The sequence below is a fragment of the Homo sapiens genome, chromosome 18 (assembly GCF_000001405.40).
Source record: "Homo sapiens chromosome 18, GRCh38.p14 Primary Assembly".
In the NCBI taxonomy this organism is placed as follows: domain Eukaryota; kingdom Metazoa; phylum Chordata; class Mammalia; order Primates; family Hominidae; genus Homo; species Homo sapiens.
Genome location: NC_000018.10, coordinates 22,452,615 through 22,477,725, shown reverse-complemented (window position 1 = coordinate 22,477,725; position 25,111 = coordinate 22,452,615). Strand labels below are relative to the sequence as shown.

Sequence of the window (25,111 nt, the reverse complement as noted above, 5' to 3'; positions counted from 1 at the left end):
CACTTACAAGTGAACCCCCATCAGACTAACAGTGGATTTCTCAGAAGAAACCTTAAATGCCAGGAGAGCATGGGATGATATATTCAAAGTGCTGAAAACAAACCTGCCAGATAAGGATACTATACACAGTAAAGTTATCTCTTCAGGCCTCCCAGTGATACATGCAGGTGTTGGTTGTAGTAGGAAGGGGTGGGGTGATCCCCAGGCCCCTAGTGGAATGTTCAGGTGGGGGTGGCAGTGACTGTGTGGCATCCCCACTGCTGGAGAGGGCAGGGTTGTTTTCAGTGGCAGCAGCCACAGGCAGGCAGCTGGGATGCATGAACTTCAGCCCCAGGTGGTGGCTTTGGGTGGAACAGCCTGTCTGTAGAGCACTTGCCTATGTGTAGCAGTCTCGCTACTGTGAGTGGTCATGCAATGACCCCAATGGAGGCAGCCAGCAATGATGGCAGCTACCTATGGGATGTCAATGGGGCTCCAGGGATGTGAAGATGAAGGGGCTGTTGAGCCCCAAGGCAGGATGCAGTTTGGCAGTGGCTGAGCTCTCAAAATGGCACCATGCTGAAGCTGCTTAGGACTTGAGGTGTGCAGGGGGCCCAATGTGAGCTCCATCTCTGGCGCAATGCCACTGTGCAGTTTCCAGGCAGCTCTCTAGGTTTGTCTCAGGGCATGGGAGAGTCGAGGGGCTCTTCCATGGCTCGGAATGCAGGAGCTCAGAGTGGGAATGTGGAGTGTTGGGTGTTGGGGATCACTTACTTACCTTTTACCTGCATTGAGAAGCCTCTTCTGGTTCCCAGCTGATCCCAGCTGAGCAAGCTGCCTGGCTTCCTTCTCCTTCCTTTTTTTTTTTTTTTTTTTTTAGCCCCTCTTTCCTTGCCTTAGATGTTTCCTGACACTTTTCTGTTGAATTCCAGTTTTATCTCTTAGATGATCTATTCAAAGTGTGATTATCTACTTGCAATTTTGGTTCTTCTTTGTGGAAGTGATGAGTACCAGAACCTTTAGTCAGCCGTCTTAACCCCCCTCCCAACAATCGGGTTTTTATCTGCTCTGAATATGACATTCAAATGCTAGCTCTCCTCTTACTAACTCAAATCTCTTTGTCACTACAAAGCAACCAGTTTCCAGTTTTATCCAAGGTTTCTTCTGGTGGCAAAGACTGCTTTGTGTTCACCAGAACCCATTTCCCCTTCTTCCTGGGCCCACAGCTACACTGCCTCCCTTTCAGTTCGGTGTGGCCATGAGACTGAGTTCTGGCCGATAACATAGGAGTGGAAGTGAGGAACATCCTTTCCAGGCCTGGCCCATAAAAAGCTCCCATTGAAAACTCACCATTCGCTCTCTTCCTATGTCTTCCTGCAGGTTGCTGACATCTAGGATGACTTGGGAAGTTACACGTTGAGTACAGAAGAGCCTTTCTCAGCCCAGGTTCCTGAATGTTATGTGTGAAGCAGAGCACTCCTGCTCTCATAACCAATTAGTGACTGGACAAGAAATAAACTTCTCTTGTCTTAAGCCTTAGAAATTTTGGATTTGTTAACACTTCGAATTGCCTTAACTTTTATGACATGCCACACATTTTCCATGCTCTGAACAGTGAAAGACTCATAGAATGTAGTGTTTAACATGATCTCTTTGTGAAGTGATCATCAATGTAGGATTCCTCCAAAGAAGAAACAATGACAACTCATCCCATCCTCACTGATCCTTTTATTGCTTTTATTGTGTGAACCTAGGATAAAAAATTATTATTATTTTTTTCGATAGGTTCTTGCTTTGTCCCCCAGGCTGGAGTGCAGTGGCGTGACTGTGATTCACTGGAATGTCTACCTGCCAGGTTCAAGTGACCCTCCCACCTCAGCCTCCTGAGTAGCTGGGACCACAGGGGTGTGCCACTATGCCTGACTAATTTTTGTATTTTTTTGTAGAAATGAAGTTTCACCATGTTGCCCGGGGTCTTTAACTCCTGAGTGATCTGCCTGCCTCAGCCTCCCAAAGTGCTGGGATTGCAGGCCTGAGCCACTGTGCCTAACCTATCTTCTAAGTACACACCTACTAATTGCTGCAAAGATACTTACTTTCATTCTAAGTGTGGATTTGGCAAAGAGCCAGATCGTAAATATTTTAGGCTTTGTGATCCACATATAGCTTCCGTCACCTATTCTCCTTTGTTTGTTGTTGTTGTTTTTTAAACAAAACTTTACAAGTATAAGAACCGTCCTTAACTCATATGCCTTACAAAAATGGGCTGCAGGCTAGATTTGGCCCACGGGTCATGGTTTGTACCTTACAAAGTAGGCAACAGGCCATATTTGGCACAAAGGACCCCTATACTGTGAGATCAAACAACCTCATACTCCAATGCCTTTGTAGGCCTCTTCTAAATAGTGCATATTCCATAATGTATTGCAAATGAAGCTTCTCAGGCCCACATGTTCCATTGGCGGAACAGCTCCTCCAGCACAGGAATTCTTGCTCACTCCTCTTTCCTCAGGGCCACAGCACAGAGAGAATACTCTTGAGGGATTTTGGTAAGTGAGTCAATACTCAAAGTGTGTGTGTTCTAGAAGGTATTATTTCTAATATTTCAGAACTTGGGTGTCACAAAGGTGGCCGTTTTGGGAAACATATACTATCTACTGAATTACTTTCTCTAGCCAGTTCCTCAGAGGGGATGGACTGTGTATATTAAGATAGGGGAGAACGGGAGTAGAAGGAGAACAGGCTTTGAAGTCAAAAGACCCCAATTTAAATCCTAGTCCCACCATTTGCAAGGCATGTGTTGTTGGAATACCTTGGCTGAGAGTCTTTCTGGGCTTCCATTTCCTCATCGGAATAAAGAGGGTCATTTACTACACATAACAGCTCTATCTCAAGGGCCAAAACAATGTTTGCCATATAATAGGTGTTCGGAAGATAGCAGTGACGGTAAATGTATTAACCCTAGAGACTCCTGCCGCAAGATCAAGGAGATTCCAAGAGACCCCAGAAATGCAGCCTTTGAGCCAATATCTTACTAATTGTCATCAGGCTTGGGCTAGAGCAATGGGTCTCAACCAAGGGTAATCTTTCACCCCACAGGGCATGTGGCAATATCTGGAGACAGTCATTTTGTTTGGAAGGGGTGATGCTATTATCTGGTGGGTAGGGGCCAGGGAAATTGCTAAACATCCTACATGGCACAGGACAGCCCCACACAACAGAGAATATTCCCATCCAAAATGCCAATAGCACGTAGGTTGAAAAACTCTGGAGTGGATGAATGAGTTCTCTCATTTGCCCATAATGGGAAAGATTCCCAGAGCCTCCCACAGGGATCTGCGGGGTCCCCTGGGCATGTCACAGCCCAGGAAAGTCTTACCTTGAACAACTCTGATCTTGGCCATCCAGTAGGAAAATCCAGTGTAGGTACCATCCGAGGAAGGGGTCAGCTCTGGGTACCAGAAAAGTGGAATGTCTTGAAGGAGAGATGGAGGCAAAGGTCATCACCGTGTCATCAGATTATCTAGAGCAGAGTAGAGATCTTGTACTAAAGAAAACCATCATTAAGCCCAAATCATAGATACTGGAAGAGGAAAGGCTTGGTCAGAAGTGGTGACCAGGTTTTGCTCTGTCATATACTTTTACCTCCTCTTCAGGGAATGATAAATGATAATGTGGCCTTCTACTTTTGTCTTTGCAAAAATTAAAAATGAATGTTTAATGAGCTACTGCTTTCTGCTAGACCTCTAACCTTCAGGGATGGTTTTCAGCCTGAGCATCTCAGCTTTCCACTTCACTGGGCTCCAGACTCCTCATGGGGAGTGTCTTTTTTCTCTATAGGAAGAATCCTGATGTTGGAAAATCTCTGCAGGGATCTGGCACCTGGTTTAGGACAACAACAAAAAGATCTCTAAAATTCAACCAACAAAGGTCCAAAGGAACTAGGTTGGAACTTCTGTTCCTGAGTAAATCTTTAAAATTTTGGTAGAGATAAATGTGGAATAATGTAAATAAAGCCACCTTTCATTCATTTTCTAGAGATTAATTAAGCACCTGTCAATGCCAAGCAAGTAAGTACAGAGAGTACAGAAATAAAGACAAACGAGTGAAAGAATGCCTTGGTTTGCAAGGATGACACATGAACAGACAATTACAATTCAGGGCTATGGGTGTCGAGTGGGGGTGCACTTACATCAGGTCGCTGGTCAGAGAGTGAGAGGAGGGGCTTGGAGACTTTCCAGAGTAAAGGAAAACTGAGCTGAATCCTGTGTTTTTCTCCCCTCTTCTTTCATTTCCCTTTTTCTAGATGTCTCAATATTGGCTCCATTCACTGGGAAAATGTGTACATACCTCCAACTTCTCTCAAAGGAGTTCCTTACACTTAAAAGAAGGAAGGAAAGAAGGAAACCTATGGCAGACCCTGTTGGGTCCCTGCCTACATCAGGGTCCCTTGGCCCCTACCGTTGCCATACTGGTGACCCTCACCACCAGCAACTGCAGGTCTCCACACTGGGGACTTTTTTGGTTAAGGGATCTGCTGAGCCTGCAGATAGGGCAGGGCAGGCAATGCCTGGGGGTTGATGTCCCTGGACTAACCCTGAGCCAAAGGTGAAGAAGACTTCATGTTTCAATGTCCTGGCTTCCTTGCCACTAGGGAGGGAGAGCTCTAGATGCATCCTACACCATCTCCCAGATGTCCCCAGTGGGATGGCGCCTCAGCTGCTCACAGCAGTAACCTACACTGCTATACCATGGTAGCGTACCACACCCTACATTAGCTTCCCTCCTCACCACCTGGCTGGTGCTCCCACTCAAATCCCAGCCTAAGAATCTGCTTTCGGAGAGCCCAGATGAAGGCAAAGCAAGTGCTGAGTAAATACACTTGCTCATCCAGGGTTTAACCAGTGTGTGCACCTTTGGTAAGACTGTTCACATGTCATAGGAAATAGATTTTTGGCCTTCAAGTAAACCCATGCAGTTGCAAATGGCTTGAAGACTTAGGGGGCTATCCTGAAATAAGGTCACTGACATGCCCAGGTGCCGGGAAGCTCCTCTGGGGCCAGAGGCACTGATGTGCAGGTTGTGGGGGCCTATTCACAGTGCTCTGCTGGACATTTCCCAGCTGAGGCAGACCCAGGCAGAAACTGTCCCAGAGACCCAATTGATCTGCTGGGGCATCGCGGCTGGCACTTCATAATCCAGCATCACAGCATATGATTCGGATATGACCCACCACAGTAGGTACAATTTTCATTTCCTTCCTCATGTCCCCACTGGCAGTCCAAAAGTCATTTATGGCTAGTTTCAAAATCCATGATATTTTTGCAAATGTTTATGTGCATAATGTGTGTGTCTATGTATGGTGCTTTATGATCTAATGATGCTTTAATTAAGTTGATATTCAAATAAGCTTGAATTCTCAGAGCTCCCTGGAGATGCAGCTTATGGAATAGCAGATGATGGGGAAGGATAGTCCATGATTAAAACATCACATGGGATAAATGCCAAAGCAAAGGTCCCACCCCAGGAGAGTTATGAATTGACTGCACCGCTTCTCATCTCCACCCCCTCAATCATTGCTGATGGGCAGAGGGAAACCATTTTCTGCCATCTGGTTTTTGCAAAAGTCAGGCAGTAAGCTCCTTGGGACAAGGATCTTATCTTGTATAGTTCAACAATGAGCACATGGCTGTGTACACTCCAAAAGCCCTATTAGTACTGAATGCAATCATAAAAATAGCCCAACCGTGGACCTTCGATAACGTCCCTGCCGTCGGCTCAAACCTGAGTCACTGTGTCTGAAGGGCACTGGGTTCCCCAGGCTGATGCCTTATGACTTACAAATAAGCAGCACATCAGCTGATAAAGTGACTGGGCCATTATAAAAATCATACAGTAGTTCCTAGGATGCCAGAAAAACAGCCGTTAAACAACAACTTATTTTTCCCTTGGTGTTTGATTTTGGCAATGTGTTCTTTTCAAATGAGAACTATGCCAAACATCTTGTATGAACCCTTCTAGTCAGCAAGTATGTGAATGACCTCTCTATGGCATGCCAGAAGCAGGGCCAGGAGAGGGGAAAGGAAGAGTTGTGGCTGAAGCATGCTGGGCTCAGAACCCTTGCTCTGCAGGCGGAAGCCACCTCAGAGCAGCATCCAGAAGCTGGGCATGAACGGAACAGCTCACAGTGCACAGCAAGGTGTCACAGCCCTTCTAGGCTCACTTGTACAGGCCCCCTCGTACAGATCTCTGTGATTTTCAGGGTTGGCAGCCACTGATGTTTGCTCCCCGAGGAAAAGTGCACCAACTTTAGGTGAATGCCTCATTGTTTGGGGATCTGGAACTGAATTCTCCTGCAGGACTAGCTATGAAATCACTAGAGGACAACAGGAGAAAGCTCATGTAGTGCAGCTTGTGTTGGTGTGGAAATGGACAGATATGCATGCCATCCTGGGCACATGTGTCCATGCCATGTGGGAATGGTCAGGGGATGAACACAGCAGTCTGGGGCTAGAGGCAGACCTGGCACCAGGATTTCCTGAGGAAGAAGTCCCCCTCCTGAGTACGTAACTTCTTTTCCCAGGCTCTCAGAAGTAGCAACACGCTGATGCCCTGCAGCCTTTCTGGGTAGTAAGCAGGGCACGTGGATGCTGGAAGCTGAGCTCTGTGCTGGGCCAGCCTGAGGGCAGTGAGAGAAAAATCCCTGCAGGAAAGTCATTCCCCAAAACAAGCCCATCCCAGTTCCCAGCCAGCTTCTGGGGCTCCAGCCCTCAGCGCCAACTCCATGTTCATATCTGATGGCAGGGAAATCATCTTTCTTAATTCCCAGGGCAAATTGTTCCTAGGAAAGAGCAGAATCTCAGGAGGAAATCACATCATCCGCGAAGGGAGAGCCAGTTCCTTTGTACTATTTTTCAGGGCTGCCTTTGGAGCCAATAATCTGTCATTCCTTGAATAAACAAGCACCTTATCATATCACAAACATTTATTTAACCCTTTTCTCCTGCACTTTTACCAGCAGGGAGAAGGAAAGCAGTTACCAGGGCAGCCAGAGCCCGTGGCAGAAATGCCAAATTCCCTGAACATTACACTCAATCTGTAAAGTGTCAGCCGGCCCTTTTCTGTGCCTCCATAAAGAACCAGTCACCCAGATTCAAGTATCACATTCCGGCCTCCCACTTCCACATCGTCCCTGCCCCAGCCTCAGCCCCATCTCCATTAATACCCCACGGCCTTTTGCAGACGGGCCCTTAATTCTGTCCAGTGGAGTCTGGGCTAATTTGTTAGTTTTTTTTAGGGGCTGATGGGGGGAATAGAAGGGGGTGGAGGGAAAGGCAAAAGAGTGTTTACATTTCTCCTTTTAATGACAATACACTTGACAGAGCTGTGAGTCCCAGCATTTTGAAATGTGTGTGTGTGTGTGTGTGTGTGTGTGATTTTTTTAAAAAAGGCATATTCTTTGACTCTGACATCACAGGAAAATGGAATGAGCAAAGTATGTAAATTTCTCCAAGCTCTCACAATCTCCATTTTCTCTCGGTGGATGGATTTTGTTTTTCTTTTCTGGTGTTGCTCCCACACAATGGGGCCAAATCTTGTTCAGGACAAAGAAACATATAAATAGAATATGCATGTGGTATGCACGGGAACTCTTGGAGACCAGAGAGAGACTGTTTGGACGGGCGTCTGAGGGCTGCTGGGGGAACCTTGGGGTCTTGGCCTGAAGAGCTTGACAGGCAGTGTCTGTCCCCAAAGTGACAAGTCACAAATTTCAAAATCATTCTTATTCTCTGGGAAACACTAAGAAACCCTGGAATGGGTACAAATTTAAAATGAGAATGTGAAATATCTTTGTGTGAGTGCATCAGATGTAAGATGTCAGTCTGCCTAAGATATTGGATGTGTTTTACAGAGCTGATGGGGTGGGTTTTCTTTTTGATTCACCACGAACAATGCTAAGTCCCGTGCAGCATGTCACCCTCTGCATCTGCATCATCTCAGTGACATCCAGGTACTCGCTGAAGCTTATATCTTTCCTGTATTATGGATTTGCAGTTGTTTCCGTGTCAATCATCCTCCAACCAAACTCTCCCCTCTTAAAAACTGCATACTATAGCTCTAGCCAAAAAGACTTATCAGCGCAAGTTTGAGCAAACTAATGTGTGCAGACCCTGAGTGGTTATTTTTGTTTCCAAGTCTGGACATAGAATCACTTGTTCAATTTCCTGCTGGGTTATATCAAGTGGTTTTAACATGTAAATCTCTGATAAGGAAACTGACTAATTTATGTAGATTACCTATCTGAATTGCTGTCAGGATTGCCTTAATTTTTTCTGCTTCCTTTACTTCTCCACTTTTTTCTCAGTTATCATTATTACCATTACCAGGACTATCAAGTACAACCTTATTCAGTATATGTTTAGAAAATGTTCTTACTAAAACTTAAAAAAAAAAAAAAACAAACCAAAACAAACAAAAACCCTCTGCATTCCTGAAGTGTGTGTGGGAGTTCTGTTGGTTTGGATGTCTGTGCTTTACAACCCGAATTCAAAATATATAGCCTCTCAGACTCCGTCACGTCCTTGACAATCAATCAGAAGATTGTTATTTGTTTTAATAAAAAAATTTTTTAAATGAGAAATGATCTGAACTACTTCCATTTTATTTCTATTCCTTAACCAGCCTCACCCTACTTCAGCTGATGGAGCTTCCCTAATCTCTAAATTGAAATCCTACAAGCTGCTTGAGCACTAGATTCTAGAACCTGCTCTGGCTATAACATGAAGTAAGTTGATCCCTGTGGGATTTTCCATGCAGTAGCTTGATCAAAGCTACTGGTTCCCACCCAAACCTTGCCAAAGGAACACCAAATTGAACCACCATCCACCAAGAAAGCACCGCCATAAGAACCGAAAGTCAGGTGAGTGATCACAGTACCTGTGTTTAACACCATAGCAAGGAAAGAGGCACCGAAGAGAGAAGGAAAGACAGTGTTGAATCGCCGACACCACCCTGCCCCCATCCCCTGGCAGCAGCTGTGTGGCAAGGAGAGAGAATCAAATAATTGTTAATTCTATGCCCAAATACACAGACCGGGGTAGTGTCTTAGTCTGTTCATGCTGCTATAACAAAATACCACAGACTAATTTATAAACAACAGAAATTTGTTTTTCACAGTTCTGGAGGCTGGGAAGTCCAAGATTGAGGTGCTGGCAGATTCTGTGTCTAGTGAGGGCTGCTTTCTGCTTCCAAGATGGCACCTTGTTGGTTCAACTTGTGAAAGAGATGGAAGGGCAAAAGGGACCTAGCTGGTTTTCCCCAGCCCTTTTATAAGGCACTAATCCCATGTATAAGGGCAGAGCCCTCATGGCCTAATCACCTCCTAAAAGCCCCACCTCTTAATGCTGTTGCCTTGGGGATAACGTTTCAATGTTATTTTGTGAATTTTGGAAGGGACACGAACATTCAAGCCATAGTAGGAAGACTGAGTCAACGTAAACCTGTACAGTAATCTCCCTTATCTGCAATTTCACTTTCCAAGGTTTCAGTTATCTTCAGTCATCCATGGTCCAAAAATATTAAATGAAAAATTCCAGAAATAAACAATCCATAAATTTTAAATTGCGTGCCATTCTGAGCAGCATGATGAAATCTCTCGTCATCCTGCCCAGGTCGTGAATCATGCCTTTGTCTAGCATATCCACACTGTAGAAACTCCCCACCCTTAGTCACGTAGTAGTCATCTCAGTTCTCACATGGAAAAAGCATGTATATGTAGGGTCAGTACTACTCGAGGTTTCAGGCATCCACTGGGAGTCTTGGAATGTATCCCACCACTGTAACCAATATCTGATGCTATTCTCACACCAAGCTGGTAAACCTGGCCTAAACAAAGTCCCAAGCTGCCCCCAGACTTGTGAGCTAGGGCTTTTGTCTAGAAACAATCTTTAGTGACCCAAAGTCAAAGCTTAGGTATCCTGTTGACTGGGCACAGCAGTAGAACCCATCGATTCTGGAACATGGACCTCTAACCAGGTAGGGTTCTGCTTCCTTGTTAGGTGCCTTGAGGAATGTGGGGCCAGGAGGGTCCTTCAGGCCTCTCCCTACACCCCAGTCCCACCCCAGCCCCCTCCTGCTGCTCCTGCAACTGCCCTACTCTCTCAGAAGCCTTGTGCTTCAGAAGTGTTTTAAGACAAGAGAGTGTGAGACTAAATGCAAACTGGCTTCAAAAATGACCATTGTTTGTATCCACTGGGAATCCTTCAAGACCTTTCCCTCCCCTCCCTTCTCCCCACGGTGAACTTTAAGCATTTTTATCCATGGAGACTAAAGACAAAGTACTGTGTCTGGCTTCTCTTCTCTTTTCCAGCCAGCCCACTTGCCAGTCTGGCTTCTCTCATCTTTGTTTGGATGCTCTTCTTCATGACTCCTCGCCAATGCACAGATGTAAACTATTGTCTGATTATTAAAAGAAAAACACAAAACACAAAAAAAGCACACATGCCTTCAGTATTAATGACCATAGAGCTGTCTGCATAAGGTGAAGTCTGTGGTCCTGAGCAGACCACAAGCCATCAGCCCCTGCTGCTCCAGGAACTTGTGCTTTTCTCCTAGGTTTTATTAAAAACAAATTTAGGCAAACACAACAGGCTCAGAAAGGAGCACCACTGTGCCCTTGAAACTTTGCTGGGCAGCCTCCAGTGGCAAGCCTTGTCTTTGTCACCTCCTCCCAGTGAAGTTCACTATCTTTTGGCCCCCCTCAGAACTGCTGCCCCATACTGTCCACCTCAGCCTAGTAGCCAGAGACCTCGTGTTTGGTCTTTGCCCTCAACAAGACACTTCTAGCCACACTGAGTCATTGCTAGCTTGTTGGAAAGGTGAGAGCACTGGGTGGAGAGTCAGAGGCTGGCTTCCCTCCTACCCCTGCTGATAGGTTGCATGATCCTGAGCAAGTTTCTTCTCCCTGCTCAGTATTCTTGCCTGCAAACTAAGAGGGCTGGGCTAGACACATTCCTTCCATTTTTCCTTAAGCAAATATTTATTTAGCTCCTGCTCTGTGCAAGACACCGAGGATGGAACTGAAAACAGGACAAACAAGGTCCTTGCCCTCATGTAGTATATGGAACAGCAGGAGAAAGTTAAAAGAAAGTAAAAGAAGACACTCTGAGCATCCTTGTATCTCCAGCAACCTTCAAATGTGTCACTGAGAACAGCCGAATGTGCTGTCGTTCTGATTTATTGGGGATCAAAGTCTTTAACTAAAGATGTGGGATTCTTGTATGGATTTTCACACATCAGCTTCAGGAAATAAGTAATAAGGAGGAGTTCATGACCCTGAAATCCCCCCTCAATGGATACCTGCTACACTTCTCTCCTGAAAGCCAGGTATCTGCAGCTGTCATCCCACTTGCTACTTTAACTGAAGGAATTTTCAGAAGCAGCAGCCAAACATGACACACCAGCAGCCTGTAGCTCCACCCTTCAGTGGAACTGTTATTTTTAGGCCTCTCCTCTCTTGTCACAAGCATCTACATACCTCCCTGGGTGACTCATGTTTGTGGATAGCACCAAGCACACGTGACTTTTTCAATGTGGGGCTGGCTTATTTTGACAAACCCACTCTCCGTTCCATCTCTACTTGCAATACTCAGAATACTGTAGTGTGGGAAAAACTGTGGGACTTCCAGTGCTCCTCAAATGTGTGCCATGCAGCAGGAAAACTACCCCCAGAGAAGCTGGGACAAAGCTGTCCATGAGCCAATGAGTTACTAGTCATAAAGTTGAACATATTGTTTCCATATTGCTTTGCTCCACATTCGTAGCCATATGACTTGACCCCAGAGTTTCAGGTACAGTAAAATGCTCTTATTCATTATGGGGCCATGTTACCATGCATCAAGGTGATATCCTGAAAAATCACACCTCACATGGCTGTTAGACACTTGTGTAAGACGTGGGCTCTCAAAACAGCACATACCGAAATTGGAGTACTTCTAGAAGGTGTTGGGCCTGAATCATCCATTTCTATCAGAATTTTTAGCAATTTTTTGGTCATAGAAAAAAATATTTCTGAGTCTATATTTCAGGCAATATGACAAAAAGGACAAAAACATTGCCATGTGGACCCAGGTCAGTGGCCTATCTGTGTGGTGCCAGGAGGCAGAGAAGATGAAGTTTCCCTTTCAGATTCAGCAAGTGACTCCTTTCGTCATAAATCCATTCGGTGGTGTCATGCCACACCTCTCTCTTATTACCTGTACACCCACTTTTTGTTTGTATATTGGTTTGTTTGTTTTGTTATTTCTGGTCTTCAATGATCTCAGGCTCTTTCTTATCACAAGGTATCCTCAAGGGCTATTACCTCTGCCCAAAATATATTCACCCTGGAATATATTCTTCACCCAGCTAACTCATTCTGGTCTTAGTTTAAAGACCTTTTCTCCAGAAAAGCTGTGTCGACCCCTTTGGGGGAAGGTGGATTTCTCTGTTTTTTCTTTCATAGCATCCTATATCTTTCCACTGTGGCAGTTCTCACAGCAGTATTTAAATGATTATTTGTTAAAATGACTTGCTGAATACATGTCTTTCCCACCAGATTTTAAACTTCATGAAGGCAAGCCTTCTTTATTCACTTCTACTGTTCCAATGTCCAGCACAACACTTTGCACGTAAGAGTATTTTTCTCAAAACCTGTGTCAATTTGATAAGTATCCTTCTTCAAATTTACATAGAAGGAGGACAACTGAAAAGCAATGTGGTCCATTCCCTGTTATATAAACACGTGTGTTGCACTGCAGAAGCAGAAAGAAAGCAGCAAGTGTTTCTGCCCGGAATCACATGAGGCAAGACTCAACAGAAGATGGAACATTTAAGCAGGCCTTGAGGTAAGAATAGTTCAGGTGAAAAGAGTGGAAAAAGGAATTCTGAGGAGATTTGATACAAAAAAAGGCAGAAAGATATGAACATATAGAATGAATTCCAGGGAAGGCACAGCAGTCAACTGTGGTAGAATACAGCATGACTGTAGAGGAATACAGGAAAGGGATCTGGAAAAATGCTGGTGGACTTGTCTTTTATTCTAGAGACTTTCTATTTGAAGCAAACTGAAATCAAACTTCAAATACATGAACATTAAATCATGAGTTTGTGCTCTAGAAAGTTCTCTCTAGTGGCAGAATGACAGATAGATTAGAGTGGGGAGGGGGTGAAAACGATTTGGAAGGTCATTGCAGTGATCCAGGCAAGAGGTGACCTGGCCCTAAACTCAGGCAGGTGGCTGGCATGGCATGAGGGACAGGTGCAAGAGAGAAAGTGGCAGTACAACCTGGAGGGCTTGGTATGTGTTATGGTTTGGCTGTGTCCCCACCCAAATCTCATCTTGAATTGTAGCTCCCGTAATTCCCATGTGTTGTGGGAGGAACCCAGTGGGAGACAATGGAATCATGGGGGCAGTTCCCCCCATACTGTTCTTGTGGTAGTGAATAAGTCTCACGAGACCTGATGGTTTTATAAAGGGAAACACCTTTCACTTGGCTCTCATTGTCCCTTTGTTGGCCACCACGTAAGATGTGCCTTTCACCTTCCGTCATGATTGTGAGGTCTCCCTAGCCACGTGGAACTGTGTGTAAGTTCATTAAACCTATTTTTCTTTATAAATTACTCAGTCTCGGGTATGTCTTTATCAGCAGCATGAAAACGGACTGATACAGCGTGATTAGATATGGGATGTGAGGACAGAAAGTGCGCCAACTATCACTAAGGACCCTGGCATGGGCACTGGCTGACTGACCATGACATTAGCTGTGACAAGGGTATGGGCGGTGTGGGTTGGGGAATCAGGAGTGAGATGAGGGAGGGGAGCTCATTAGGTTTTGAACAAGATGGGCTTGGTGTGTGTCCTTGACATCTTGGTGCAAATGTCAAGAGTAGTGTTTCTCAACCTTCCTTTCATGATCACCCCTTCATAAGGAGCCTTTTAAGAATTTTTTTTCCTAATTGCCCTGCCCCCAGGAGACTCTGACATCACAGATATACCATATGTCTGTTGATATACTATATGTAGTCTGTACTTGTACATTAAAGGAACAGAATTTTTTGCTCCTTCTTCCAAGAACCCATTTTTGCCCCCTGGGGGTTAGTATTACACCCATGAGAAAGCATGGGCAGGGATTGGGAGGTGGGCTGCCACAATCCCAACTGCGAGAATAAGGACGGCTTCATGCAGAGGAAGAGCATTTGCAAGGCACTTTAAAGATTGGGTTAAAAACAGTTTTTAACTGAAAACTAAAATTAGAGATAAAATTCACAGAGAGAGGGTGCTTTGGATTTGGGGATACGGGTGCATTGCAAATGGCATGTGGAGCTACAGGAGCAGGCTACAGCACCAGGAGAGAGGGACTCCAGGAAGAAGACAGAAAAGGAGGGCAGAGCCTGGGGGCCACCAGGAGTGCTGTCAGCAAAGTGGAGACAGGGCATCCCAAGGGGAAGGGGCCCTGGATAGCAGCGTCACACCGTGAGGAGAGAGCCTTGAGAGAGAGAAGGGGTAGCGGTATGGCCACAGGAGAAGAGCTGACAGGATCGGTCACTGCAACAGATCAAAGCTCAGGAATGAGCCTCTGATGGGCTGTTTGAGAAGAAAGAAGGGTGGACCATTTGAGTAGAAGCCTAAATAAAGATGAATGTGCATGTCAGGAGGTTTAAAACACTTGCAAAGATTTTACAGGAACAAAAGGACAGAAATTCAAATCGTGTATGGTATTACAGAACTGTGGTTTTTTAAAGTTCTTTGGATGTTTCTGTACTTTATCTGTCTTTTCGTTTCAGGCCAACAGCTGCCCATTGTCACTGGTTCTACCTTTAGCAGCATCTCTCTCCTCTCCTGATATCCTACAAGCCTGGAAACCTGGGACTGTTCAGAGCCCCGAGAGCTAGAATAAGTGTGCCATGTAATGTGGATGTGAGTAGTAAGACAGAAAAATAAAAAACAAACTGTGGCGGGAGGCTAATAAGACCCCCATAGACAAACGTTTAGGTTGTTTCTAAGCTTTCGCTTTTTACAATGTTGTAATGAATGATTGTGAGCTCATTCCATGTATTTGTGAATATAACTGTAAGATAAATTCCTAGAAGAAAAGGTGCTGGGTCAAAGGGCACGTGATTTAAAATCTTGATCCTAGAAGATAGTGCAAGTTACATTCTCACCAGTGATGCATGAGAGAACACATTTCCTTACATCACAGCCAACACAAGGTACTGTCAAATGTTTTTATCTTTGCCAGTTTGATAATTGAGCAGTAGTACTACATTTTAGTTTAAATTTGCATTTCCCTTTTTATGAATGAAATTGAGTATCTTTTTATATGGTTGGAAGATAGTTTTATTTTATGTTATTTTATTTTGGTGAAATGCTTTAGAGCTTTTGGCCATCTTACATTTGATTAATATTTGCACAGTGATTTGTATAAGTTCTTCACATCTAAAAAGAATTTATCTTTAATCAGTGAATGAGTTGCACATGTTTTTTCCAGTTCATTGCTTTTATTCATGTATAATACTATTATATAACTGTATATTATATAATATTATAATACAAGACACACTTAAAATTTTGGGGGTAGTGAAAGTTATCAATATATTATTTTATGGTTTCTCAGTTTTTTATTATATGTAGAAAAGCCTTTACTATTCTGAATTTATTTTTAAAGTATCTTCTTTTTTTTTCTTCTAGTACTCTTCTGAGGTTTTTTTCTTTCTAAATTTTGGGTTCATTGGAATCTCAGTATATACATATTTTTTCAGAGGTCTATATATTTTAGTGTCCTTTATTGACTTAAGCTGCCTTTTCTCTACTGATTTAAGCTACCAACTTCTGTTATATACTAGTTTACCATATATATTTCTATCTACTTACCCGTATACCAATACCATGAGGTGTTAATTGATACCACTTTACAATGCATTTGACACCTGGTAGGGTAGTCTTATTCATTAATCATCACACTCCACTGCACCCCAACTCTAGCTAGCTGCTTTTTAGATTTTCTCTTTGTTTATGTATTCTGCAATTTCTTTGTGATGTGCCTTGATGCAAATTTCTTTTCACTTATCTTTAATAGTTATTATTGTTCTTTCAATAACCTACCACCTCACTTTTTTCTCATCTTCTGAAATAACAATTACACTTTTGAAAGAGAAGAAAGACCATCTTGGAAAAAAGAGACCTTCTCTCTCTGTCCTCTACGTCTCTTTACCACTCTCCTATATTTTTCATTTCTTTGCCTCTTTGCACTATAATTCTGTATAATTTATTCACATTATCTTCAGTTCTCTAATTCTGTCTTCCACAGTGTCTAATCTGCCACCATACCCATTCACTGACTTTTCAATTTCTGTTACTCTATTTTTAATTTTAGAAGTGCTAGTTGATCTTTTTCTAACCCACAATGTCAATTTTTATTGTTGACTATTTCTTGCAGATATTTTAAAGCTTACCTTACATTTATTTAAATAAAATTAACATAGCTCTTTGTACTCTGTGTCTGGTCATTCAAACAGCTGCAGTTGTCTAACTCGCCTCTGCTGTCTATTTTGCTGACATTAACTATTGGTGCTTTGTTTTCTGAGTTTAGTAATCTTCAACTGTACTGCTTACTGCCCTTGAGAAACCATTTATACAAAATCCTCGAGGCCTAGGATGAAAGTATCTGCCTCCAGAGATGATTAGAGCTTGCTTCTGCCAGGTGCTTGGGGGTACTGTAGTTGTGTATCACTTTAAATTCATAGCTCAAAGTTTCTTGGCTCATCCCAAAGACATGTATTTGAGCAGCATATGGGCAAATACTGCCAGCCAATGATTCAGTGATGACGTCCTATCAGGGACGGGTTTTCTTTTTCTTTTCTCTGCTTTGCTTAGTGTCAAGGTAACTCTCCCATGGTCCCCTGGGGTAGTGGGAAGGGGAGCAGGTTCACCTTTGGTTTGTCCTTACCCTGAAGGTGAACCCCTTCAGACTCACAGCTTAATGTGAGGCAAGAGTCTCCTATGAGACCCTCCTTCCTACCTTGGGTGAGTCTTGGCCTTTGACTTCCGTATTCTTCATTCTGAGAGTCCATGAAAACCACAGCCAACTCAACTTAACCTGATCAACCACGGGCAAAATCCAATCAGGGCAAAACCTAATCACTTGGGAAGTCCTGATTATCTTGTCAGCTTTTCAGTGCTTTTAAAATCAAGTTTGTTTAATATGTTATCCAAATATTCATTGTTTTAACTGCAAGAATTAATCTAAATAACTAAGTCCATTATTACCAGACATGGAATGTCTGTTGATTTTTCTTATAAGTTTTAGTAACAGCTTATCTAGCTTTTTAAAATCCTATATTTTTATTGGCTTCAAATTCCATTTATAGATATCATTGGGAGAGTTAAATTTTTTGCTTTAAGTCTTCCTACTTAAGAATATGTCATGCCTTTCCATTTCTTTCATTTTTTTCTCCTCAATAACGTTTTAAAGTTACATTTTATATGACTTACACTTTGTGTTAAATTTTTACTCTTACACTTTTCAAAATTATTTTTATCTCTTTTTTTTTGCCCACATCTCACATTCCTTTTTACCAAAATGTTAGCTTTAAAAAATATATACCTAGGTGTTTTCTTTCTTTCAGTTAAATTAATATAAATATTAAACCTTTAAGTTTTTTCCAGAATTCTGCTTTAGCTCTGTCCCATAGGTTCTGATATGTACTAGCTTAATTATTTTCATTTATAAAAATATAACCCTTAATTATTTTTATTTTTAAAAATATATCCCTAATGGAAGAGTTGCACATGAAAGAATATTTTAGCATTTCCAGGTGGTAGAATTTTTCTCCTTCCTTATTTTATTATTAGTTTTTAAATGAATTGCTTTGTGATCAGAGAAGCTTTTCTGGACTCAGTCTAATTTCTGAAGTTTAGTAACATGTTCTTTGTGGACTTGGATATGGTCAGTTTCCAGCAGAATCTGAGTCTCCGTTCTGCTGCTTCCACTGTGGTCTTGGTTTCTAGGTTGTCATTTTTGCTAAGTTCTGCCAACTTATGTTTCACTTCCCATTGTCTTGCTAAATATTTCCTAAACTACTGTATATGTTTTTTTGAGCTCCTGTTTTTTAAAGGCGATTGTTTCACTAAGTTTTTTCTTTTCTTTTTAAATTCATGAAAGTATGTTGGGTCATAAATGTCATCTGTTTTGTGGCAATATTTTTCTAGTGAAGCTTTTTTTTTTTTTTTTTTTTTTTGAGACAGAGTCTTGCTCTGTCAGCCAGGCTGCAGTGCAGTGCTCAATCTCGGCTCACCATAAGATCCGTCTCCTGGGTTCACACCATTCTCCCGAGAAGCTGGGACTACAGGCGCCTGCCACCATGCCTGGCTAATTTTTTGTATTTTTAGTAGAGATGGGGTTTCACGGTGTTAGCCGGGATGGTCTCGATCTCCTGACTTCGTGATCCGCCCGCCTTGGCCTCCCAAAGTGCTGGGATTACAGGCGTGAGCTACCGCCCCCGGCTGTAAAGCTTTTTTAAACCTAATTTATTTGCTTTTCTTGTTTCATTCATTCTCTTTTCATCTATAGATACTGTGTGTGTTCCTTTTTGAATACTACCCATCTCTAAGTCAGGTCCGGGCTTTCTGAATTAGCTATCTGCAAGACATTTGGATGGGGAAGTGGGTGGTGGCCAGAGTTATATTCTAAGCTAGCAGGAATTCTCCTTAAATATAATGTTGTATGGATGAGGGACAACTTTGAGATCTGCTTCTCCTCCTGCAGGGACTGGCCGCCTTAAGCAGGGCTGCACAGGAGGAAATCTGTCTCCTCCCCGCTCTGCTGAAACACTAAATGAAGAACTTTTTAATTGTTACTGAGTATCTGAGTCATTGAATTCCTCAGTTTTCTGGAACTGTGATCACACAAGGCTTCGCTTTAGAACACGGATACTCTACATAGTAAGAAGCTACAGTTGAACTGCACATGCCACCCTCATTACCACTCTCATCAAATGCTGTAGCTTCAACTTCCTCCTTCAATCCAGTTTAAAGACTGGGACATGGAAAATAAGAAAGTGTTCGGACATTTTCAGAATGGAATAACGCGTGTGAAGGGCGGGGTCCTGATGCAGTGGCCACAGGCACACCTGAAGGTGTAGATTTTCTTTTTGGGACAAAGACTCCCTATTGTCCTTCAAAAAAAAAAATCTTATCATATTTTAATTATATCACCCAGGAAAATAGACTGTCCTGGAAAACAAAAGTCACCAGCCTCTGCTAAAGCTGGAGTCTTTAGGGGTAAAATCAGGGGCACAGGTCAAACATAGTTTTCGGTGACCTATGTCTGCAAGGCAGTCAGAAGCAATAAACTGTGCAGGGTTGATTAAGCTTGATGATATCAATGTACTCTATTGAGTATTGAAATATTGAAATATTTGTGATGTTATCTATTTATTTGTATTGTTCCATGGGTATGTATCTCCTATTTGCTTTCATCAGAGATTCAGAGGACAGTCCTCAAAATGAAAAGATTCTTGTAGTTGTTTTCTGAAACATCCAAGAAGTACCTGGAAAGACAAAGGGAACAAATAACTACTACTATTAATCATTGGACGCTGATAATGTGCTAAAGGTGATATCTTATTCACAACTGCACCATGTAAGTGATCATCCAACATTCTTCAGTGTTGTACTCAAGGCTCAGAGAGGGTAAGAAACTTGCCAGAGTCATCCAGCAAGCAAGGATCAAATCTGGGATTCAAAACAGGCCCCGAAGCCTCCAGAGCCTAGAGTGGGAGCTGGCACTGACATGAGGACGGGAGAGTGGAAAAAGAATCCTAGGATTCCTGCAACGAAGCAGGTCTGGTCCCGACAAGGGGCCCCAGGCCTCACAGGGGGACTTGCCCAGTGAACACAGGGTGCCGGGAACTCCGTACCTCCCTCCTGCAGCCCGCAATTTTCCATCACCATTGGAGAGCTGTTTGAAATACTACAGCTCCAATCCCCATGACCCTCTTGAAATTCCTCCACCATCCCTGAGGCCTCCCAGTCCCAGTGTGGGAAATTCTGCTTTAGAGGGATGTTATGAATATTAAGGAACAAGTGATTATTAACCTTTTGGCAAACATACAGTCCTATAGAAATGTTAACCGTATGTTCCCATTTAACTTCATTTATAGCACTTGGACGACACTAAGACATTTGCCTCTTGTTTAGGACTTATACTAGTCAGAATTTGCAAAGAAATCATTAGGCACTTCCTACATAAGGCATAAGAGACGCTGTCTACATCTTCGTGCCTTCTGATCCAGAGGGTTTGGTTTGGTTTGGTTTTTGCTTTGAATAATACCCTGTAGTTGACTGAGTCTGTTACAAATAATCTCTTAATTATGTGACTTACTCCACTCAAAAGACTTCAGCAATTCACCATTCCTCTGAGACCATTTACAGGTTATTAAAAAATCTAAGTTCCGTATAGTTGGCCTTCAACTTGGATGTTAAGCTTGACATGATTCCTTTCCACGTGTTTTCATTTTCTTCTGCGACAGCACCTCCTGCCCCCCAGAATAGTGCATTTATCTCCCAAATTCAATCATCTATATTAACTGGGGACCTGCTATCTGGATAAGTGATATCCACAAGTGTTCCAAGAAACTTTAATATTAATAACTTTATCGCAATCAATAGTTCCAAATTCATCAGACAGGATTTCACTAGAGTTGCCAAAAAGGAATACAATTTAACTGCTCTGAGAGCCTTCACCCTGTTCTCATCCCGTGTTTCCATGGAAGATGCAAAGAACAGAGACACACGAGAAAGGTGGACAGGCAGAGTCAAGAATGAAACGGAATGAGGTCTCTGTCAACAAGCTGGATAATGTCCATTTCCCTGAGCTTGAGTCTGTTCCTCTCTGTTCCTCCTTCTGTTTTTTCTCTCTCCTCACTGGAGTGCTAATGAATACCTTCCACTGCTCTGGAATGCCATTATGTTGTGATTGTCCTCCCTTGCGAGGTCTTTGCAGAGGCCACGATGAGACCGGTCTCATCCACGGCTTTGTGTCCTCCTCCCTGATACAGTCCCCAAAGGCCCTCTCCACTCAGGGCTCAAGTTCCACTCACTGGGTGGGTCATACCCCCAGCCCTGTAAAATGTTTCTGAAGGATTGGGGCTCTGACATACCTCACCCAAATCTTTTGCATCTTTAATAAACGAAGTTAGTACCAAGATATCTTAAAGCAATCAAGTCTTCATTTACACCCTTTAAATATCTGTAGACAGTTATCATGGCCCTCTGTCAAGCAACACGATGACCCGGTTCTGCCCTCTCTCAGAAATGCGAAGGAGCAGTATTCACGCTGTTTCAAAAAATCCTCGGCAGCAGGGAAGACTGACTCCGTTGTTATCAGAAATGGAAAGTAAATTTGTCTCTACCCTGTAAACAGAGAAGTTTTTACACTGTTCTTCACAAGAATTCACAGTGCAGCTTACAAACAACAGGGATGTGGTCATTGGTCATTTGTTTCCTTACTTACCAGAAACAAACAAACAAAAGCCAGGGATGTTGTCAAATGACAATCATGAAATCACATTTTATTGAACAGGCTTTATACTTGTAAGATGTCATCTCTTCCCTTTGTCTCCAAACTGCTTTTATCTCTCCTTTTTCTTTTTCCTCTTATCTTCCGGTAAAATGCATGAATCTACACCTTGGAGCAAACTTTAAACAGATTCCACTTTAAATTCTTCAAGGACAATGACTTTAGTAGTTATTCATGTGTGTGTGTGTGTGTGTGTGTGTGTGTGGGTGTGTGTGTGTGTGAAAGAGAGAGAGCGCCAAATGAGTGAATGAGTGAATAAGAAAATAAATGAATAAAAATTGCAAAAGGGATCAAACAGGAGCAAATATGAGATAGTTTAATTTAAAAAGAAGAAAGAACATCTAGTTACATTTCTGAATTCACTGTTGCTGTTGTATCATGACTAAAACGCTTAGTCCCATAAAATTGTGCTGACTGAGGAAGGCACACAGCAAGGTACAGGCTGTGGGGACAGACAGCCCTGTATTTGCATCCTGGCTCCAACACAGACCTGCCTCCCTAACTGCTCTGAGCCTCAGCTTTCTCTTCTGTCTGAGGCAAGTCACCAGAGCCATAACAGGCACCTTGTGAGATTCACAATAGAATGATGTCATACTGTGCTTGTCACTATGCCTGGCACATGTGCTGAATTTTCTCTGGGTGGCATTCAGGTAAGTGTCAAAGTGAAGAAATTTTTAATTTTTGCTAAATCTGTCATGTGTGTTCCATGGATTTATTCTTTCACATCTCCTACTTCTCATCTCCTATTTTTTAAGTCCTTAATGATGAATTTTACTGAAACAATTTCAGGACTCATTTTAGAATTAGGATTCAGCATTCCACATGCCCCGGAAGTGATAAAGGCCATGTTAAGTAATCCTTCTGCTGTGTCTGGGCCAGTCTTTGGAAGGCAGCTTCCAAGACCCAGGTGGTACAGTGGTCCTGTCTCCAGCCCTCCTCTGAGTTCTCTTCCATTGCAACCCTTCCTCATTTTGGATGAAGCAGCTGCACTGGAAGCATGAAATAAAGGCGGGTGCTCTGAGAGTCAAAGAAACCTCTCTCAGTGTAAATAAGAAACAAGACGTAACAAAGAAGGAGAGAAAAGGCAAAGTGAACATTTTTCTAATCCTAAAGGGTATCGTTCGAACGGCCTCTGTTTTAGAACTTCTTATCTGAAGTGGAAAAAAGGTTCTTAAAATCATTTATGCCAATAAAACTTGGAAGTGTTGAAAGAATCCCAAAAGAGCAGGCATCTTAGACGCGGTGCCACCTTGTTGCCTGTAACTGCAGTCCCGGTTCCACTCTGTTAATCCTTTCAAAGCAAAACTGCACAACTGGGACTCTCATGGATACTACTACAACTGAAGGCTGGAAAGAGGAGCCAGGCATGAGTTTGCTGTGAGTAAAAAAGTAGGAAGTAGCAAAGGTACTTAGCTGAGAGATTTGGGGACTGAGAGCTTAAATTAATATGATCAAGAAAATAATGAGTCTCCAAATGAACAGCTACTGGCCAGGAGACCCTAAAATAAAATGCTGTTATTTATTTAAGGTTCAATCATCTTACCTGGGATTGCAGATATCTGCACAAGATGGGCTGCTTGGCATGGCTGGAAGCCCTGGAGCTGCCACCAAGCAGTGGGCACTGGGTACACGGATGGGGAAATCACCATGTGCTGGGTCCCACATCAGCTTTACAGGAACTGTCTCATATGACCCTCACGGAACTCCAGGAGTCAGGTGCAGTGGCTATCATCCCATTTTATGAAAAGGGAAACTGAACTCAGGGATATGAAGTAACCTGACCAGGGTCATACAGCGTTGGGATTCACACTCCAGCACGGGGACTCTGGGGTCACCCTCCTAGCCTCCTGCAGGTGGACCTCAGCAACCCAGAAAGAGGGCACAGCAATGTGTTGAAAGTGAGCTTGGATGATAGTTACCTGTGCCCTGTCCTGGGCTCAAGATATACCAAGGCTGGGGAGAGTGCATTTCCGGCTTCACCATGGCAGGTGCAGGTGTGGATATTCCAGTAGGTTCCCGGTGAGGGGGACAATGTGGACCAGTAAGGTATGTGTGCAGCACAGACATCCACTTACAGCAACAGGGATGGCCCTGCCTATCCCTACACACACCTCTTTCCTCTTTACCAAGTTCACCTCTTCCAAATTTCATGGCTAAACATTCTTACCTCCCCACTTGCCCTCCCCTCCCACCTGACCCCCTAAATCCTGACTCCCCAGCTAGAGCATCTTCCTTTCTGGTACCTGTGCACCCAGATTTCCAGTTGCAACTTGATCTTACTTTCTCCTTGTTCTGTGAAAGCTGCTGACACAGGGGCTTGCCACTGTCATACCCTTATGCCCCAAATCCTGGCTTCAAGTCCAGCTTTTCTTCAGATAGGACCACAATTAAACTACAATAGAAGAAAAATAACTTAATGCTAAATAGAAGTAGCATTCTTTTTCTTAAAATTCCATCAACTTTAGTGTCAGTCTGACTCCTGAAACTTCTCATGAAACTCGTATATTTTCTGTAGTTGGTATAGTAGTCATTCTGATCGCTTTAGATTTCTCTCTTCCAACTGGGTTTTTGCAACTTGGAGATCAAGATTATTGCACAACAGCATTAACAGCTAATAAATCGGGCTCCTCCTTGCCATTTTTCTGAGCAGGGCTGATGGAGCCAAGGCTCTACAGAACAGGGGGAGCCTTATTCTGAGGCTGACGCTTTACTTGGGTTCTAAGGCCAGGATTCCATGTAAGAGCCATGCTGCTCCTGATGAGGGACGTGGGCCTGAGATTCACCACAGTATAGGTCTATAATCTTTTTTCTGAAACCTTTTAAACCAACATGATTTAGAATTGTCCAGATTTCAGAGAAGAAATGTGTACATACTGCATATTATGTAACATCCCCTATTGGGGTCTGGAGTAGCATCCCCTAATCAAACATATTTATATTTCTGCAGCTAAATATTTAACTATAACTATACAACATAAATAGTCTAGTAGCAATTCAGTTCAGCTTTAACTGTCAAATGAGTTTAGATCCGACCAGTCTTTGTTGTCAAATGAGTTACCAAAACCCTTTCGGTTTTCAATTTTTTTGGATCTGGGATTTTATAGAGAAGAGATTGTGAGCCTGTAAATGCAAATAGCTGCCATTTATTGAGCATGCCTATGTTCTGGTGTAATCCCAAAAAGAGCCTGCACGGGAAGGCACTGTTCTTTGCTTCATGTCACAGATGAGGATGCTTCCATGTAGAGAGGTTGGGAAGATTCCCTGAGGGCACAGAGGTAGGATGAGTTCAAATCTGCTGGAGACCAATGCAAGACATGTGCTCTTGCCACTAAGATGTCCTCTCCCTAAGAAAATAACAAGCTTGGCTGGGCACAGTAGCTCACTCCTGTTAATTCCAGTGCTTTGGGAGGCCGAGGTGAGAGGATCCCTTGAGCCCAGGAGTTTGCAACCAGCGTGGGCAACAAAGAGGCCCAGTTTCTACAAAAAATAAAAAATAAAAAAATGCTGACTCTGGT

General features: G+C 43.1%; 2 long non-coding RNA genes across 2 annotated transcripts, besides 4 other annotated features; one reads left to right on the top strand and one right to left on the bottom strand.

Annotated features, from left to right (window-relative positions):
• The first annotated feature begins 1,955 nt into the window (after positions 1-1,955).
• LOC124904260 (uncharacterized) lies at positions 1,956-21,224 on the top strand. The gene is made up of 3 exons (XR_007066305.1): positions 1,956-12,863; positions 14,803-14,935; positions 18,783-21,224. It is a non-coding gene; the product is annotated as an uncharacterized LOC124904260 (long non-coding RNA).
• Positions 4,785-8,045: an enhancer, noted in NCBI's record as "VISTA enhancer hs1667". NCBI's record gives its function as "enhancer in: heart[5/6]" and the evidence as "EXISTENCE:transgenic organism evidence [ECO:0001131][PMID:17130149]".
• Positions 6,826-7,120: a silencer, noted in NCBI's record as "tiled region #6400; K562 Repressive non-DNase unmatched - State 7:EnhWF". NCBI's record gives its function as "represses a minimal TATA promoter and a strong SV40 promoter by Sharpr-MPRA in K562 cells {active_cell/tissue: K562}" and the evidence as "EXISTENCE:reporter gene assay evidence [ECO:0000049][PMID:27701403]".
• Positions 8,959-10,158: an enhancer, noted in NCBI's record as "P300/CBP strongly-dependent group 1 enhancer chr18:20047531-20048730 (GRCh37/hg19 assembly coordinates)". NCBI's record gives its function as "activates an origin of replication core promoter dependent on BRD2, BRD4, P300/CBP, MED14 and CDK7 cofactors, with strong dependence on P300/CBP, by STARR-seq in HCT116 cells {active_cell/tissue: HCT116}" and the evidence as "EXISTENCE:reporter gene assay evidence [ECO:0000049][PMID:35650434]".
• Positions 9,466-9,760: an enhancer, noted in NCBI's record as "tiled region #6476; HepG2 Activating non-DNase unmatched - State 23:Low, and K562 Activating DNase unmatched - State 5:Enh". NCBI's record gives its function as "activates a minimal TATA promoter and a strong SV40 promoter by Sharpr-MPRA in HepG2 and K562 cells {active_cell/tissue: HepG2 | K562}" and the evidence as "EXISTENCE:reporter gene assay evidence [ECO:0000049][PMID:27701403]".
• Positions 19,438-25,031, bottom strand: LOC124904261 (uncharacterized). Its single transcript, XR_007066306.1, has 2 exons — positions 21,531-25,031; positions 19,438-21,430 (listed from the first exon to the last, which is right to left on the bottom strand). It is a non-coding gene; the product is annotated as an uncharacterized LOC124904261 (long non-coding RNA).
• Positions 25,032-25,111: the final 80 nt, after the last annotated feature.